A 15,870-nucleotide genomic window follows, 5' to 3' on the forward strand; every position below is an offset into this window, starting at 1 on the left:
TTATATGTTGTATGTATCATATACTGTATTCTTATGATAAAGTAAGCTAGATAAAAGAAAATGTTACAGGAAATCATAAGGAAGAGAAAAATATTTACTATTCATTAAATGGAAGTGGATTGTCATCTTCACATAGAGTTCACTGAGGAGGAGGAGTAAGAGAAAGGTTGGTCTTACAGTCTCAGGGGTGGTAGAGGCAGAAGAAGTGGAGAAGGTGGAAGAAGAAGCAGGAGAGGCAGGCACATTTTGTGTAAATGTATAGAAACACATCATAATTTCTGTCTGATGTTTTTGCTTTTTCATTTCTCTAAAAATGTTTTTATATAGTACAAATCCTTCTCCCACCATTTGCTTTAGTTTCAATGTCTATATCATTGAAGAATTCATGTCACTAAAGAAATTAAAAACAGTCTTGAATCATTAGTGCCCTTCTGCCAAAACAAATATCAATTTGTTTTCTGGCACTGCTTCTTCCACGTCTTCTGGCTCATCATCTGGCACTGGTTTGGAAGCACTTATCTTCATCAAATCATCTCCTGTTAATTCCTCTGATGTGGTGTCTATTAGGTCTTGAATTTCTCCAAGATTCCTATCTTAAAACCCTTCATTCTTCACCTATTTTGCCATATCCACAATCTCTTTCATGATTTCCTTGATGGACTCTGTCATAAATCTTGTGAAGTCATGCACAACATCTGGACACAGTTTTCTCCAGCAGGAACTTATTGTTTCAGGCTTGATGGTTTTCACAGCTTTTTCTATAGCAACAATGGCATCTTCAGTGGTGCAATCCTTCCAGACTTTCATAATGTCCTCTTTATCAGTGTTCTTTCTCAAAGCCTTGAAAATGGTTTCCACAGAATATTGCATATAATGAACCTTACAGGTCCTTATGGCCCCCGATTTAGAGCCTGAATTAGAGACATTGTGTTTGGAGGAAAGTAGACCACTTTAGCACAGTTGATGTTGAACTCATGCGGTTCTGGGTGGCCAGGGGCATTGTCCAATATCAAAAGAACTTTAAAAGGCAGTCCCTTACTGTCAAGGTACTTCCTGACTTTAGGAGCAAAGCATTGATAGAATCAGTCCTAAAAATGGAGTTCTTGTTCAGGACTTCTTGTTCTACAACCAAAAGATTTGCAGCTGTTTCTTAACTTTCTCTTCAAGGCTTAGAAGTTAGCAGTTTTATAACTAAGGGCAGTCCTCATCTTAAACCCAACTACATTTACACAAGGGTAGAGTTAGTCTATCTCTTCCTGCCTTACATTTCGGTACTTGTTTCTCTTCCTTACTAATAGATGTCCTTTATGTCATTTTTCCCCTAAAATAAGGCACTTTTATCTGTATTAAAAACTTATTCAGGCAGATAAACTTTCTCCTCAATGATTGTCTTCATGCACCTGAGAATTTGTATGCTGCCTCTTGGTCAGCAGAAGCTACTTCTCCTCTCATCTTGACATTTTTTAAGCCAAACCTCTTTCTAAATTATCAAACCATCCTTTGCTGGCTTTAAATTCTGCAGTTATAGATTCTTCACTTGCCTTTTGCTTTCTGTTGTCATATAATGACCTTGCTTTCTCTCAAATCATATTAGAGTCTATAGATGTGCCTTTCTTATAGCAATCCTGTAAGCAGATAAAAGTTGCATTTTCAATACTATATAAAAAGGTATTTCACAATAAGTGAAAGGTTTTCGAACTTGCTTGCCTAGCTGTAATAACAGCTTCATGACTTTCCTTTTCTTTTATTATAGTGGTGCTTATGCTGGACTCATTTATCTTGAAATGGTATACAACTGCATCTGCAGACCTCTATGGCACATTTTAAGCAATTCAACTTTCTCTTGTAATATCATGACTTTTCTTGGCTTCTTGGGAGCACTTGCAGCATCACTAGTGGTACTTCTTATGGGTCCTGTGATGTTAGCCAAGGTTTACAGTATCGCAGAAAACATGATGAAAAATACACAAGGATCACAAGAGATCACTTTTTACTTCAATAAGCAACTTACTGGAGAGAGGTACTGCTCACGTGGGGATGATTGGTAGTCACATAGCATTTTAAGCAGACATTTGCAACACTTCAGCTCACCACAATACCAAAGGATGGGGGTTAAAATATTATTAATAGTGGTGCAGTATTATTACAGTTCATTGTATACAGTTGTGATTTAATACTGCATCTTTATGTTTGTTTACATTTCTTTCAACTGTGAATGGCACCACATACACTCTGTGTGCATAAGTTCTGATACATTTTAACTTTCTATAATAGATTTGTGTGTATTTTTTGGTCTTAAATAATAAAATAGACTAGTGTTTACATGTATTTTATGCATTCATGGCATACCTTACTTTTTTTATTTTTTTATATTTCTAGGCCATGTGGTTGGTCTAGGAGTTTTTTTAAACTGTCACAAATCTCCAAAACATTTTCCAGTATATTTACTTAAAGATTCCTCACATAAGTGGACCTACAAGGTTCAAATCTACATTTTTCAAAAGTAAACTGTGCATGGAAAAATTTCTAGGCATTTGATAGATGCCATTCCATTGTGCATTTAAGATTATAGTTTTTCTGGCCGAGCATGGTGGCTCACGCCTGTAATACCTGCACTTTGGGAGGCCAAAGCGAGTGGATCACCAGAGGTCTGGAGTTCGAGACCAACCTGGCCAATATGATAAAATCCCATCTCTACTAAAAATACAAAAAATTAGCCGGGTGTGGTGGTGGGCAACTGTAATCCCAGCTACTCAGGAGGCCTGAGGCAGGAGAATCCCTTCAACCTGGGAGGTGGAGGTTGCAGTGAACTGAGATCACACAACTGCACTCCAGCCTGGGCAACAGGAGCAAAACTCCATCTCAAAAAAAAAAAAAGAGAGATTATAGTTTTTCTTCATTACGCAAAAAAAAATAATGATGCAATGGGAATTTATGTATATCAATCTTTACATATATTTCTAAGATTAAATTAATTAAAAAAATAACTAAGTCAAAAAGTATGGATTTTTTTCTTTTTTTGAGACAGTTTTCCTCTGTTGTCCAGGCTGGAGTGCAGTAGCATGATGTTGGCTCACTGCAGCCTCTGCCTCCCAGTTTCAAGTGATTCTCATGTCTCAGCCTCCCAAATAGCTGGGATTACAAGAGTACACCACCACTCCCAACTAATTTTTTTTTTTTTTTTTTTTTTGTAGCAATGAGATTTTGCTATGTTGGCCAGACTGGTCTCAAACTCCTGGCCTCAAGTGATCAGCCCACCTCAGCCTCCCAAAGTGCTGGAATTACAGGTGTAAACTACCATGCCTGGCCAAGTACGGACATTTTTAAAGTTCTTAATGGATATTGCTCACTTGCAAAATCCATGAGTTTAGGAACTTTATCTTATTTGCCTCTGGGTCAGTAGAACCAGAAAAGTGATGAACATATCATAGACACTCACTGAGAATGTACTAAATTAATGAATTAATACATCGCCCAAGGGCTTTCCAAAATAAATAGCACTTTCAAATACAATCATTCCCACAGGAAGTTAAATCTATTGCTTGTCGCCATCTTGGTCTGATTCATTATTTAGCTGATTTATTTCTTCCTAATACTCACTAAAGGAATTGCTATATTTAATAGGAAACATTTGCTGGGAGGTAGCTGATGGGAGGACACAAACTTACTTTTCCCTGCAATTCCCCAAGAGCTTTTCTTGGGACTTTAAGATTCAACAATTTATTTGATAATCTTGCAGTAAGAAAAAGAAATACATTGAATAGGCTAGAAATAATTGTAGTTTCCTAAAGCCTGGGTAGGGAATGGATGCTTATAGATAAGCATCTATAAGCATCTATTATCTTTTATTTTAAGTAGTATAAGTAACTGTGTGTGTGCCCATGCATGGGGGTGTGTGCATGCCTGCTAATTGCTACGATAAGATCATCTACATTTTGTTGCAGGTTAAATACTGCTCATATACCTCAAATTAATCCACATCCGAAATGCATATGTAGCTACCCATTTCTACACAGGACCATAATCCCAGTACAACCTTTGACAAATCCTTCAGCTTTCCTGGCTCACTCTTCTCTAATAATACAACAAAGTATACATGTAATAGTTTGATATAGAGCTTCTATATCTCAGTTCCTAAATTAAGGCCTTTCACAGAGCTTTTAATAATACAGCCCCACGCTCCTGGAATTACAGGCAAAGTTAAAAATCATTCCTCCTTTGCCTTTCAACAAATTTCAGTTCTCTCCTGTAACTATGTGCATGCAAATTCTATTAATGCTAATGAAGGCGATGTACATGCATACAGAGTGGAATATATCTCTAAATCACACTTTAATCTTTAGCTACATAACTCTGGCACCTGTTCAAATGATACATGTGCCTCAAATACACACTGTATGTCTGTTGTTTCCTGTCTGGGTATTAAAATTTATTCATGTATTTTTAGTAGCTATTACAATATTTGACTGACAAATTTTGTTATTATTGTTATACATGTGTTGAGTTTTAACTGGGTGCTAGATGTGGCCATAAACATTCCTGATTTATTATAATGCAATTAGAATGCAAATTTGATTCCTGACCAGGTTATATTTATTTTTTAAAATGGAAATTTTCTGTTGTTTTCCACCTGGTTAAACATATGTAGTAAAAAGAAAACATAATGCTAACAAAATAAATATAAGTAACCTGGTAGCTTGTTTCTGTACTGAATAGTGGTTATCTTTACATAATTAAAAAAACATTTTAATGCATGCATTTTTAAAAACCCAGTTGAATGAGGTCATATTTGGTTTATTTATACTAAAAAATATTTTATTAACTAATAATTTTTAGAGAAAAAGTGGTTAGCTAAACAATTTTACATTATTTTTACATATTTGACGTTCCCTGGACACATGTAAATCTAGCATTAGCCACTTCTCAAGAGGGCCTCCTGCACCTCCACCTTCACATTCTTTCTTTCCTTTTCCACCTTCCCACAATGTTCCCCCAAAAGTTGAAAAAGGTAGATAATACTGAAATCTGTACACTATAGCAAGGCCAGAAGTTTTATACTTTGAGGTGGAAAAAAAAGGTAATATTCTTTCTAACTGATCTCTTATTCTGGAGCCCCTTACCAATAGATACAGAAACTTGCCAATTAAATGCATTCAGTCTCTTTGCATTTAAAACTGTAAATATTCAGTCAGTGCAAAGTTCAAAGTCCCTCCCAGGACTATTTTCACTTTCCTTTCCCCTTTCCCATTCCTGAGAGAGTGGGGCAGGGTGTAAGCCTTGACTCCTCAGGCAGTGGCAGTAGAGATGCTCCCATGTGGCGCAGCAGATTTTGTGAATTCGTTTGAATGTAACCCAGAGAGCCCCTGGCCTCTGCCACAGCCTCCAGGCATAAAATCCACCTTCTGCAGAAACTTTGAATTATATAGAACCTGAACCCCAGGCCAGACCCATTCACCTATCCCCATCCTTCAGCCATCTTATCCCTTACACAGTGGCATGATTGGATGTGGTTTCATTCCAATTTCTGGACTTCTCTGAAAGACTTGCAACTTCCCAGCTATGTCTCAAGAAGCTAGGACTAAGGATCCCATCACTAGAAACTCAGATGTTTCTATCCCCCTCAATCCCACCCTACAATGCTCCTCCCCAGGCTTAAACCTTAAGTAGGGAGCCAGGCAGGACACTCATCTCTGACCCTTCCGCTTCTCTCTCTTCTCCCAGTAAAATAATTTTCTACTTTGCCACCCTATCTCACCAGAACTGTCTCTAAAAACTTCTATTTATTCTTCCCTATTCCATGGCATTTGCCCTTCTCCTCCACATTCTCTACTGACATAATCCTGACTTTGTTCAAGTATGGATCGGAGGTGTGTTTAGGGGAGCCTGAGCCCCTCCTCAATTTCAGAGAGAAAAATATAATTTGGATTAAGCCAAGCATGGCAATTTAATTTCTCTGGCTAGTTGGTTAGGAATGGCATGTGGTATAATTATGGCCACTGAGATATGAGGAGAAACGTGCTGGGGGCTTCTGGCAAAGTGTTCCTTTTGTTCCGGGAAGGGGTCCTGATTCAGACACCAAGAGAGGGTTCTTGGATCTCGAGCAAGAAGGAAATTTGAGGCAAGTCCATTGAGTAAAGTTAAAGCAAATTTATTAAGAAAGTAAAGGAATAAAAGAATGGCTACTCCATAGGCAGAGCAGTCCCGAGGGCTGCTGGTCGCCCCAATTTTTTTTTTTTTTTTTGAGACAGAGTCTCGCTCTATAGCCCAGGCTGGAGTGCAGTAGAGTGATCTTGGCTCGCTGCAACCCTCACCTCCCAGGTTCAAGCAATCCCTGTGCCTCAGCCTCCTGAGTAGCTGGGATTACAGGCACACAGCACCATGCCTAGCTAATTTTTCTGTTTTTGGTAGAGACAGTGTTTCACCATGTTGGCCAGGCTGGTCTTGAACTCCTGACCTCAGGTGATTCTCCCGCCTTGGTCTCCCAAACTTCTGTGATTACAGGATTGCCCATTTTTATGGTTATTTCTTGATTATATGCTAAACAAGTCGTGGATTATTCATGCCTCCCCTTTTTAGACCATATAGGGTAACTTCCTGATATGGCCATGGCATTTGTAAACTCTCAAGGGGCTGGTGGGAGTGTAGCAGTGAGGACAACCAGAGGTCACTTTCATTGCCATCTTGGTTTTGGTGGGTTGTGGCTGCCTTCTTTACTGCAACCTGTTTTATCAGCAAGATCTTTATGACCTGAATCTTGTGCCAACTTCCTATCTCCTCCTGTGACTTAGAATGTCTAACCTACTGGGAATGCAGCCCAGCAGTCCCTATTGAAGATGGATTTGCTCTGGTTCAAATGCATCTGACACTTTCTTAAAGAGAGACATGAAGACAAATGACCGCTTCTCCCACGCGGCCTTTGGATATTATTTATGAGGACCACGGCCTGCAACTGCTGCAGTCATCTTGCAGCTATGAGGAGAGTAGCCAGCACCCTAAGGATGGCAGCCGAGACTTCAGAAAAACACCTGGTCCTTAATAATGTCATTGAGTCACTGAGCTAGACATCCTACCTAGAACCACTCACCTCAAGGTTTCTTTTCACGTGAGATAATATTTACTTTTGGGTAAACACTTCTAGTTTCTAGTTGGCTTTCTGTGGCTTGCAGCCAAAAGCACACTAACTTCCTTGAGGTAAAAATGTTGAGAGGGCCATAGGGAGATAAAACAGAGGTCAGATAAAGGAAAATATATTGAAATATAATATAGAAATACTACTTCCATAGCAAATGTAAAATATTTCTTGTCAAATGATGTGAGAGAGGTGTGGAATTACATCACAGTTTTTTTCAGAGGTGGCTTGGCTACAAGAGTTACTGGTGAATCCAGGTTCCTGTCCATGAACCAGGAGTCCCAAGGAGCTACCAGGATATTAATAAGCTAGACTAAATGTAGCCTGCATTTATAGAAAGTGCCTAATGTGCCATTAGTCCCTATTGATGGCATCCTCTATAGAGCCCCCAATGTCCACGGTGCTTGAGAGTCTCACCTGAAACCTCACTATCCAGATGAAAGAGACAAGAAATAATTCTCATTTATCAGACACTACCTTTTTGGTTTGTTTGTGTTTTTATCAACATTATAAATATACGTAGTTTAGGCCAGGCACAGTGGCTCATGCCTGTAATCCCAGCACTTGGGGAGGCAGATGCATGCAGATCACTTGAGCCCAAGAGTTTAAAACCAGCCCGGGCAACAAAGTAAGACCCTGTTTCTACAAATAATCGAAAAACTAGCCAGTGGGGCGCACCTGTGGTCCCAGCTACTCAAGAGGCTGAGGCATGAGAATCATTTGAGCCCAGGAAGTCAAGGCTGCAGTGAGCTGTCTTTGTGCTACTGCATTTTGGCCTGAGTGACAGAATGAGACCCTGTCTCAAAATAAATAAATAAACAAACAAACATAGTTTAAGGAGTCAACAAGTTTGATAAACTTTTATTTAAACAACAACAACAACAATCTCTTTCCCTGCCCTTATATTCTGTTTCCCAGAAGCAACCTGTGTTTCAGTTTTTAAAATTTAATCTTTTGGTATTTATTTCCAAATCTTTCCACAATTTAATAATGTATTAGATTTCAAGAGCTGCCATAACAAAATAACATAGACTGGGTGGCTTAAATAATAGAAGTTTATTTTCTCACAGTTCTGGAAGCTGGAAGTCCAAGATCAATGTGTTCGCAGGTTTGGTTTCTCCCGCAGCCTCTCCCTTTGGCTTGGAGATGGTTCCCTCACTGTGTCCTCATATGGTCTTTTCTTTGTGCTCAGGCATCTGTGGTGCCTCCCTCTGTACTCATTGCAATTCAGGACTAATCTTTTCTTACAAGGATAACAGTCAGATTGGATTAAGGCCCATCCTAACAGACCAGCCTTTGAATATGGGCTCCTTCTGGGGAAAGGATGTAACCTCGGGCAAGGTAGCACATTTTAGTCACTCAGCTATGACCCCTCCACTACGGTCTTTAGCTTTTATTTTAAAAGTTTTCTTCATGGCCAGGCACGGTTGCTCATGCCTGTAATCCTAGTACTTTGGAAGGCCAAGGCAGGGGGATCATTTCAGGCCAGGAGTTTGAGACCAGCCTGGCCAACATGGTGAAACCACGTCTCTACTAAAAATACAAATATTAGCCAGCCATGGTGGTGCATGCCTGTAATCCCAGCTACTGGGGAGGCTGAGGCACAAGAATTGCTTGAACCCAGGAGGTGGAGGTTGCAGTGAGCTAAGATCACTCCACTGCACTCCAGCCTGGGCAGCAGAGCAAGACTCCATCTCAAAAAGAAAAATTTTAAATAAAGCTTTCCTCACTTGGTGAGTTTTAACTTTTTGTGCAGTACTAAAAAGTTATCTGAAAGCTCTGAATGCGACCTGGAGCCTGTCAACTGTGATCTATACTATAGGGGGTTCTGGCTGGTCATTTCATTGGTTCTTCAGTTGTCTTTTCTCTTGACTGCTCAGATTTCCCAAAGAAGCATCTTTTGCCTAGACTTATTGTGGACACTCTGAGAGCTAAGTGGAGAAAGAAAGATTAGAGAGAGGAGTCTGAATATTCAATATGCAAATGTTCAATTAATCCCTTTTTTCAGCAAGTATTGCTCCTCCCGACCTCCGCAATACCCCACCCTACCACCACTACTCTTCTTGATGCATGTCAATCCAGAGAGGTTTTGTTCTATCTGCTTTGGAGACTAACCCCATCAAGTTGGGTAAAGGCAGTTGCCCACCTGTACAATTGGGGATTTATTTAATGGCCTCTTAAGGAAACTTTCAACCAATCTTCCTATTTTTAGCCCCATTTTCAATCTCATTTTCAGAGGTACCTGGAAATGCCAATTCCTGAACCTTCTGGATATTCTGCAGTGTAAAAGTTTCTCAGCTTTTCCCAAGTCAGCAACAAAGAATTTGGCTTTCTAAGTTTGCTGAGTCAATATTATTCATTCATCTGCCTTCTAGCTTCCAAAATTTTTGCTATTTCTTTCTCCTCCATTCTTTTTGTCCTTGTGGGTATGTACCTTTTTAAAAATATCCCTTTACTGTCATCTTAGGGAGTAAAAGTATACGTGTCTACTTAAACTCGACTTACACATTTTCTCTTTCCCTCTCTCTCATTCTCTCTCACACACACTTTTTAAAATATAGGTAGAATATTCTAGCAAAAGAAAATAAGTGTCTTTCCTACCCCTGTCTGTCACCAGTTGCCTCTTTGCCTCCAATCCCAAGCAGGTAATCACTTTTATTAGTTCTCTATGTGTTCTTCAAGAGTTTCTTTATGTATATAAAATGAAATATAAATATATATTCTTATTCCTCCTTTTTTACACAAATAGATTACTATAAGACTGTTCTGCATTTTGCCATTTTCATCTAATATTGCTTGAAGCTCTTTGCATATCAGTATAGACCTCTTGCTCATTCTTTTTAACAGCTGTATAGTATTCCAATTATTTAGCCTCCCAACAAGGGACATTTGATTTGTTTCCAATTTTCGCTATAAAAAACCTATAATGAATAGTCTTAAACATAAACAATTTTGCATGTGTACAAGTATATCCATAGGCTAAATTCCAAGAGATCTGTTAGATCATGTGGTGTAGTTATTTGTAATGTTACCAATTGCCCTCTGTGGGAGTTGTACCAATTTGTAATGCCAGCAGTGAAAGGATTCTGGTTTATTTCCCCTCCTCCTTGCATTTAACAGAGTATATTACAAAAATAATTGAATAAGTAAAAGTGGTACCTCGGTGTACTTTAATTTTGCATTTCATTAATATGAGTGATTTCATATGTCTAATGTAAATTTTTATTTCATTATTATTGAACTTTATTCAGTTCTTCATAAGGTAGAGTTAATAATTTTATTTGGAGAAAAAAGTAGTGTGTGTGTTTATGTTTGTATGTGTGTGTACATGTAACCAAAAGTTCAAAGGCATCATTACAACCTTGCTTGGCCAAATGTATAATTGCAGTATATATATTTAAAAATCTCTTGCTACATCTAAAGTATGGTATTATGTAGGTTGGTGTTTATTCAGGACAAGGAAAATTATCCAAATAAGTTATTTAGAACAAGGAATTTATCACGCAGAAGAATATGTCTGGGATAGAAGGCCCATTAACACTCAAATTATGAGTTCACTAATCTGGTCTAGGTTGAGGAAGTATGTCAAGAACAATAGCTTGCTCATATCTGAGATGTGTTAAAATTAACTGTGTGTTTAATAATATTGGGCTTAGAATCATATGGTAGAAAACATTACATTAACTGAGTAACGTAATCATTCTCAGCGTCAATTTCCTGATCTGAGAAATGGACATGGTAATATCTGTCCCACAGTGTTGGTAAACTTTCTTCACCACTGACACCCATTAATATAAATCACTTCTAATCAATGAACTCAGAAAGGAGGTAGTCATATAAGTCAGATAAAAACATCTAGAATTTAGAAAATTATACAGCTCTCAGAAAGAGAATATTTGAACCGTAAAAAATAAGGAATATTAAGATATATATGACTATAAATAAATAAAATAGCACTTGATGCTAAGAAAGCATGCATAATCTCAAAGCAGAAAATAGAATGTCTCACAACTAGAAGTGAGGCAAAAGGATAGATTTACTAACTTTGTGATTATAGAACTTACCTATTTTGTAATTATAAATAGTATAGTATGAAAATGTTTCATAAAAACTATAAGCCTTTAAATCCCAGACAAAAGCCAGTGGAGTAGGGGATAAGACATACTGAATTCGCAAAATTTAGGAAGATATGTTTTCATGAAAAAGAGTTTTCTCTGCTTTCTTTAGGTAATCTTGTAGATATATTAAACAGAAATTCTTCTCAAATAAAGACTGAATTTATATTTTCACTTAATAGTTTATTCTACTTTTAAAAAGCTTAACTAACAAATCAAGAAAACCTCATATTTTGTTTATTTTTCTATTTTAATTACTAGATATAATGTAAAAATAAAATTATACCACAAGAAATACCATTATGTGGAATATAAAAAGCACTTTTTTTCAAATAGGTGTATACACTTAAAAAATAAAACTATAATATCATGTAACTGTTGTGTAAAACAAATGTTCTTCCTCAGATTCATTTTTTTGTTGCAGCAATAGGTCCCCCTGGTGGAGATTGAAAATATATTTTGTTCTATTTTTCTCTTTCCAAGTCACTATCTTAATTTGAGTAATTAAGTGCCATTCTTCCTTGAATAAATGAATAAAGAAGGAGTTTAGAAGGCCTGTGAATTGACTGTCATCCCTTCTGCAGGTGAATTTGTACCTAGTAACATTCATAATTGCAGGAATCAAACCCTTCTGCCTAGAAAGAACATTCCCCAAAACATAAAGTCTTAGTTGATAGAGACTAACAAAATTAAATATGCAAAATAATGAAGCTTTTAAAAATCACATTCATAGATTATAAGAGTCTAGTTAATGATTCCTCTTATTGGTCTATATATATATTCCTGTATACAAGGCAAATGTCTCCTTAGCTGGGAAAGAACAATCGTTGTTCATTGAAGACTCACAAGACAATTACCATATGGAAATACCATGAGATACATACACCCTTCATTGTTGGGTTACATGAGGTGATACCTTAACAAGTGATATATAATGGAAGGAAAAAGTGTGTCAACTTCTATGCATGAATAAAACAGGAGTTCTTAAAGTGAGACCAGAACCATGTGTTCCCATTCAGTTCTACCAGTGGATGCCCACCCAGAAGCATAATCAACTTGGAACAATATGGAACCCAGATTTCATTCCATACTCTCTTGAAAATGAAAGTTCCAGCAGTGTCAGCCTGGGGCAAAAACTGAAATTTAGATGATACTATCTTTTTGTAACTGTTTCCCACACTGTAGAGGTCCCGGAGATCCCAGAACATCCAAGATCCGATTATAGAGCTGCAAATCTCTTGAACCTATAGGTCAATAACCACTCCATGAGTCCTTTCTCTGGCATCAGCGTCCCACTGCCGCTCACCATTTCCCTGTGACTCCTGTACATTTCCCCTACATAAGCCCTAAATCTCTGGTTTCCCTGAGGCTTAAGAACAACTAAGCAGCTATTGATATGGATGGTGTATTCCTCAACACTGAATTCATCAGAATCCTGAGCAATGTTTTTAGATGGTCAAACACTACAGCAATCTTAATCTCTTTAATTTCATGTTTCTTGATTTTTTTCAGTAAGTAAGTAGTATATGGAGTATGTCATTGAACCAATAAAGAGTATGTGAATTAATTTACACTTCAGAAAACCTCTACATCCATACTGTAAGCTGTATTCTAAATTAAGCTCTCCTTTACCTCTAGGCCCTCATGCACCTTTTATTTCATCCTGGGTTCCTAGAACAAATTTCTTGATTATATAGGAGCAATTTGACTGGTCTGTAGACTAACAATATTAAAGTACAGCAGATGTCTAGCGTTTTCCCTCCCCTGTAGTGCTGGGAAGGTCTCCTTTGGGTTCTCAACCCTACTTTAACCAGACATGCCTCTCGTTAACTCAGCACTTCTCTAATCTCGTGGGAGACAAGGGGGAGAAGGTGAGAGCAAAAGTGGTAAACAGCAGCAATTACTTGGTTGGGAGATGAGCCTTGTCCAGGTCTCTGCTATGTTTAATATGGTTGATCTGAACACTCCTCCATCTGACCCCAAATAACTGAAGTTGACTGCATTTGTCTCTTCTTATTTCTATATAGTTTGTGATCTGTTATTTCTAATTTAATAATCTTACTGAATTTGTGTTGGAGAAGTGTGCTACAATCCTTTTTTGGAAAAAAAAAAGATGTTACATAAAGTATAAATAAAATAGAAACTAAGAACTCTTTTAAAAAGATTTGCCTTTTCTATCTCTTTTTCACATGAATTAACTCTTTAGACCCTAATAGCTGCCAGCAATCAAGTTTAGCTTTTTGAAAATAATTTTTAAAAACCTTTGACTTTAATATAACTTAGGTAGAACTATAAACCATGATTTTTAAGCTGATTTCAACCAAATGTTAATAGCATATATTTTATCCATGCTCCCTAAGAATACATTTCCTCCAAATGGACTGAACACTGCCTTGCTCACCTGTTTATGAATACTCCAAAGAAACTAATCTGAGTTTAGAATTTACCCCCAAGCAGTATCCTAGCTAGCTAGGTTTGGGTACAACCAACAGCTCCTTAGAGGCCCTCAAGACCCCAGAACTTCCAGGATCAGATTGTAGAACTATAAGCACTTGGGCCCATAGGCCAATAATTCAAACTACAGAAGAAGCATAACTATAACAATTAATTTTAATATAACTTTGCAATTCACAAAACATTTTCACAAACATAATGTCATTTAATTTTTCCCCAAACGACATGAAATAGACTGTTAATTTTCTAGTTTTTAAAAATCTTTCCCAGTTTTTTTTCTTGTATCTTTGCTACAGTAGTGAAATCAACCAATTAGATATAAACAAAGTTTTCTTTCACAAGGAAAATTCTTAGAATCCAAATCTTGCTTCTCCCTCTTTGAAAGAGTTATTTTGTTTTTATTGCCAGTGTTGAAAAACATCCCACTATCCCTTGGACTTAGATTAGCAACAATTATCTCCCAGCAAGACTGGTATAGAAAGTCTCCTGGAAAGCTCAGTTTTGGCTAGCTACTCAGATTTAATGGAACATTTTAAATCTTAATAGAAAAAGGAAAATGTAATCTTGCTGAAAGTATGGTTATATCTACCTGTTTGGTAGAAACCTTAAATGTATAAACTTTCAAAACAATCAAAATGTATATTTTCTTAAAAAATAAGCCAACCCCAAACCTTTAACCTGCTGTTAAATTTAAGGAGGTCCTAAATGGTAGGAAATATAATTTGAAAATATTTTTGTCACTTAACATTTAGTTTATGTATATTGAGTGGTCTTTAAAAAGCTACGTATCAGAAATAGGCTTCCATCAATAAGTCTCTAGTATTTATGCTCTACAACAGTACACGTTTCCATGCTGTCAAACGTACATGGACTTTTGGAAGACCCTGGGGATAGGCAGTCTAGGTAACACCATACAGTGAAAATGATCGCCCTTTTCAGAGAGCACAGTGGTGTGTTAGGCAAATGTTACAAGCATATTAAATCAGAAATGTTGGACTCCGGGGATTCTATTATCTCTTATTTATTTTATTATAGAATAAAGAAAACCTATTTTAAAATATCCTTAATTAAGTATAAAATGGAAGTAACCCTGCTGATGTTTGATTCTATAAAATGTTAGTAATATTCCTAAAATCATCATATAATGAAAATATATTTTACATAGTCTCAGAATAGCACAAGACATATGGGTTTCCAAAGTTCTCATGAAAGAGGTAATTTGGATTTCTGTAGACAGTTAGATAAAATTACTAATAAAAACACCTGGTATTTAGAGTTTACCTCACAAAGGTAACTTTTAACATACAATCATAAAGCTCAGATAAACCAGAACCTGGTTTTATTTTAGATTTTATTTGGCAATTTTTCATAGCATCTAGGATGAAGTTTTCAATGAATGGTTTAACTACAGTATATTCTGAATTCAGAATCAGGAAAGGTAAACAAATTACCTATTCCAACTGAAAATCTATTCCAAGATCTCCAAGACGCAACTAAGCTCTCATCCAGTTGGCTGCCATATTTCCTTCTGAGATTTCCTGCTTACAACCCAAATTCTGCACAATTCTAATATTAAAGTGACCTTTACTGACCACCCCTCCCCTCCAACCAATGCACCTCAACTGAGACCTACAAGAACTTTGCTTTAAGACTACCAGCTTGAGGTCCATAAACCTTGCTCCCTCCTCCTCTTTGGCTTAATGCCTAAGACCACCCACACAACCTTCTATCAACCACACTTCTAAATCTAAAGTTCCTTTCATTTTAAACAGTCCCTAAAATAAAATCTTCTCCACAAAAATTAAGTGGAAAAATGTTTCCCTAAATTTTACCCTCAAAATGAAAACCTTTTACAAGTCTTCACTACTCAATAATGTGTACTTTCTCAATAAGTATTTGCTTAACACTATTTTTAATGTATTTATTTTCCAAACTGATCTACTCTTTCAATGTGTTGTCTCCATGACTATATAGTTATCTAAGATTATAAGCTTCCAGAGGTCTGACACAAAACACTAACTTACATGGAATAGCACATAATATAATGCCATGCTAACTTCAACATGTTTCATGAATGTTTTTCAGCTGAGCTTCTGAAGCTCAAATTCTCTTTCATGTTTTGTGGTTTTAAAGGTCTGATGTATTACATCTTGAGGGAGTACGTAAAAGTCA

The sequence above is a fragment of the Homo sapiens genome, chromosome 5 (assembly GCF_000001405.40).
Source record: "Homo sapiens chromosome 5, GRCh38.p14 Primary Assembly".
NCBI classification, from domain to species: domain Eukaryota; kingdom Metazoa; phylum Chordata; class Mammalia; order Primates; family Hominidae; genus Homo; species Homo sapiens.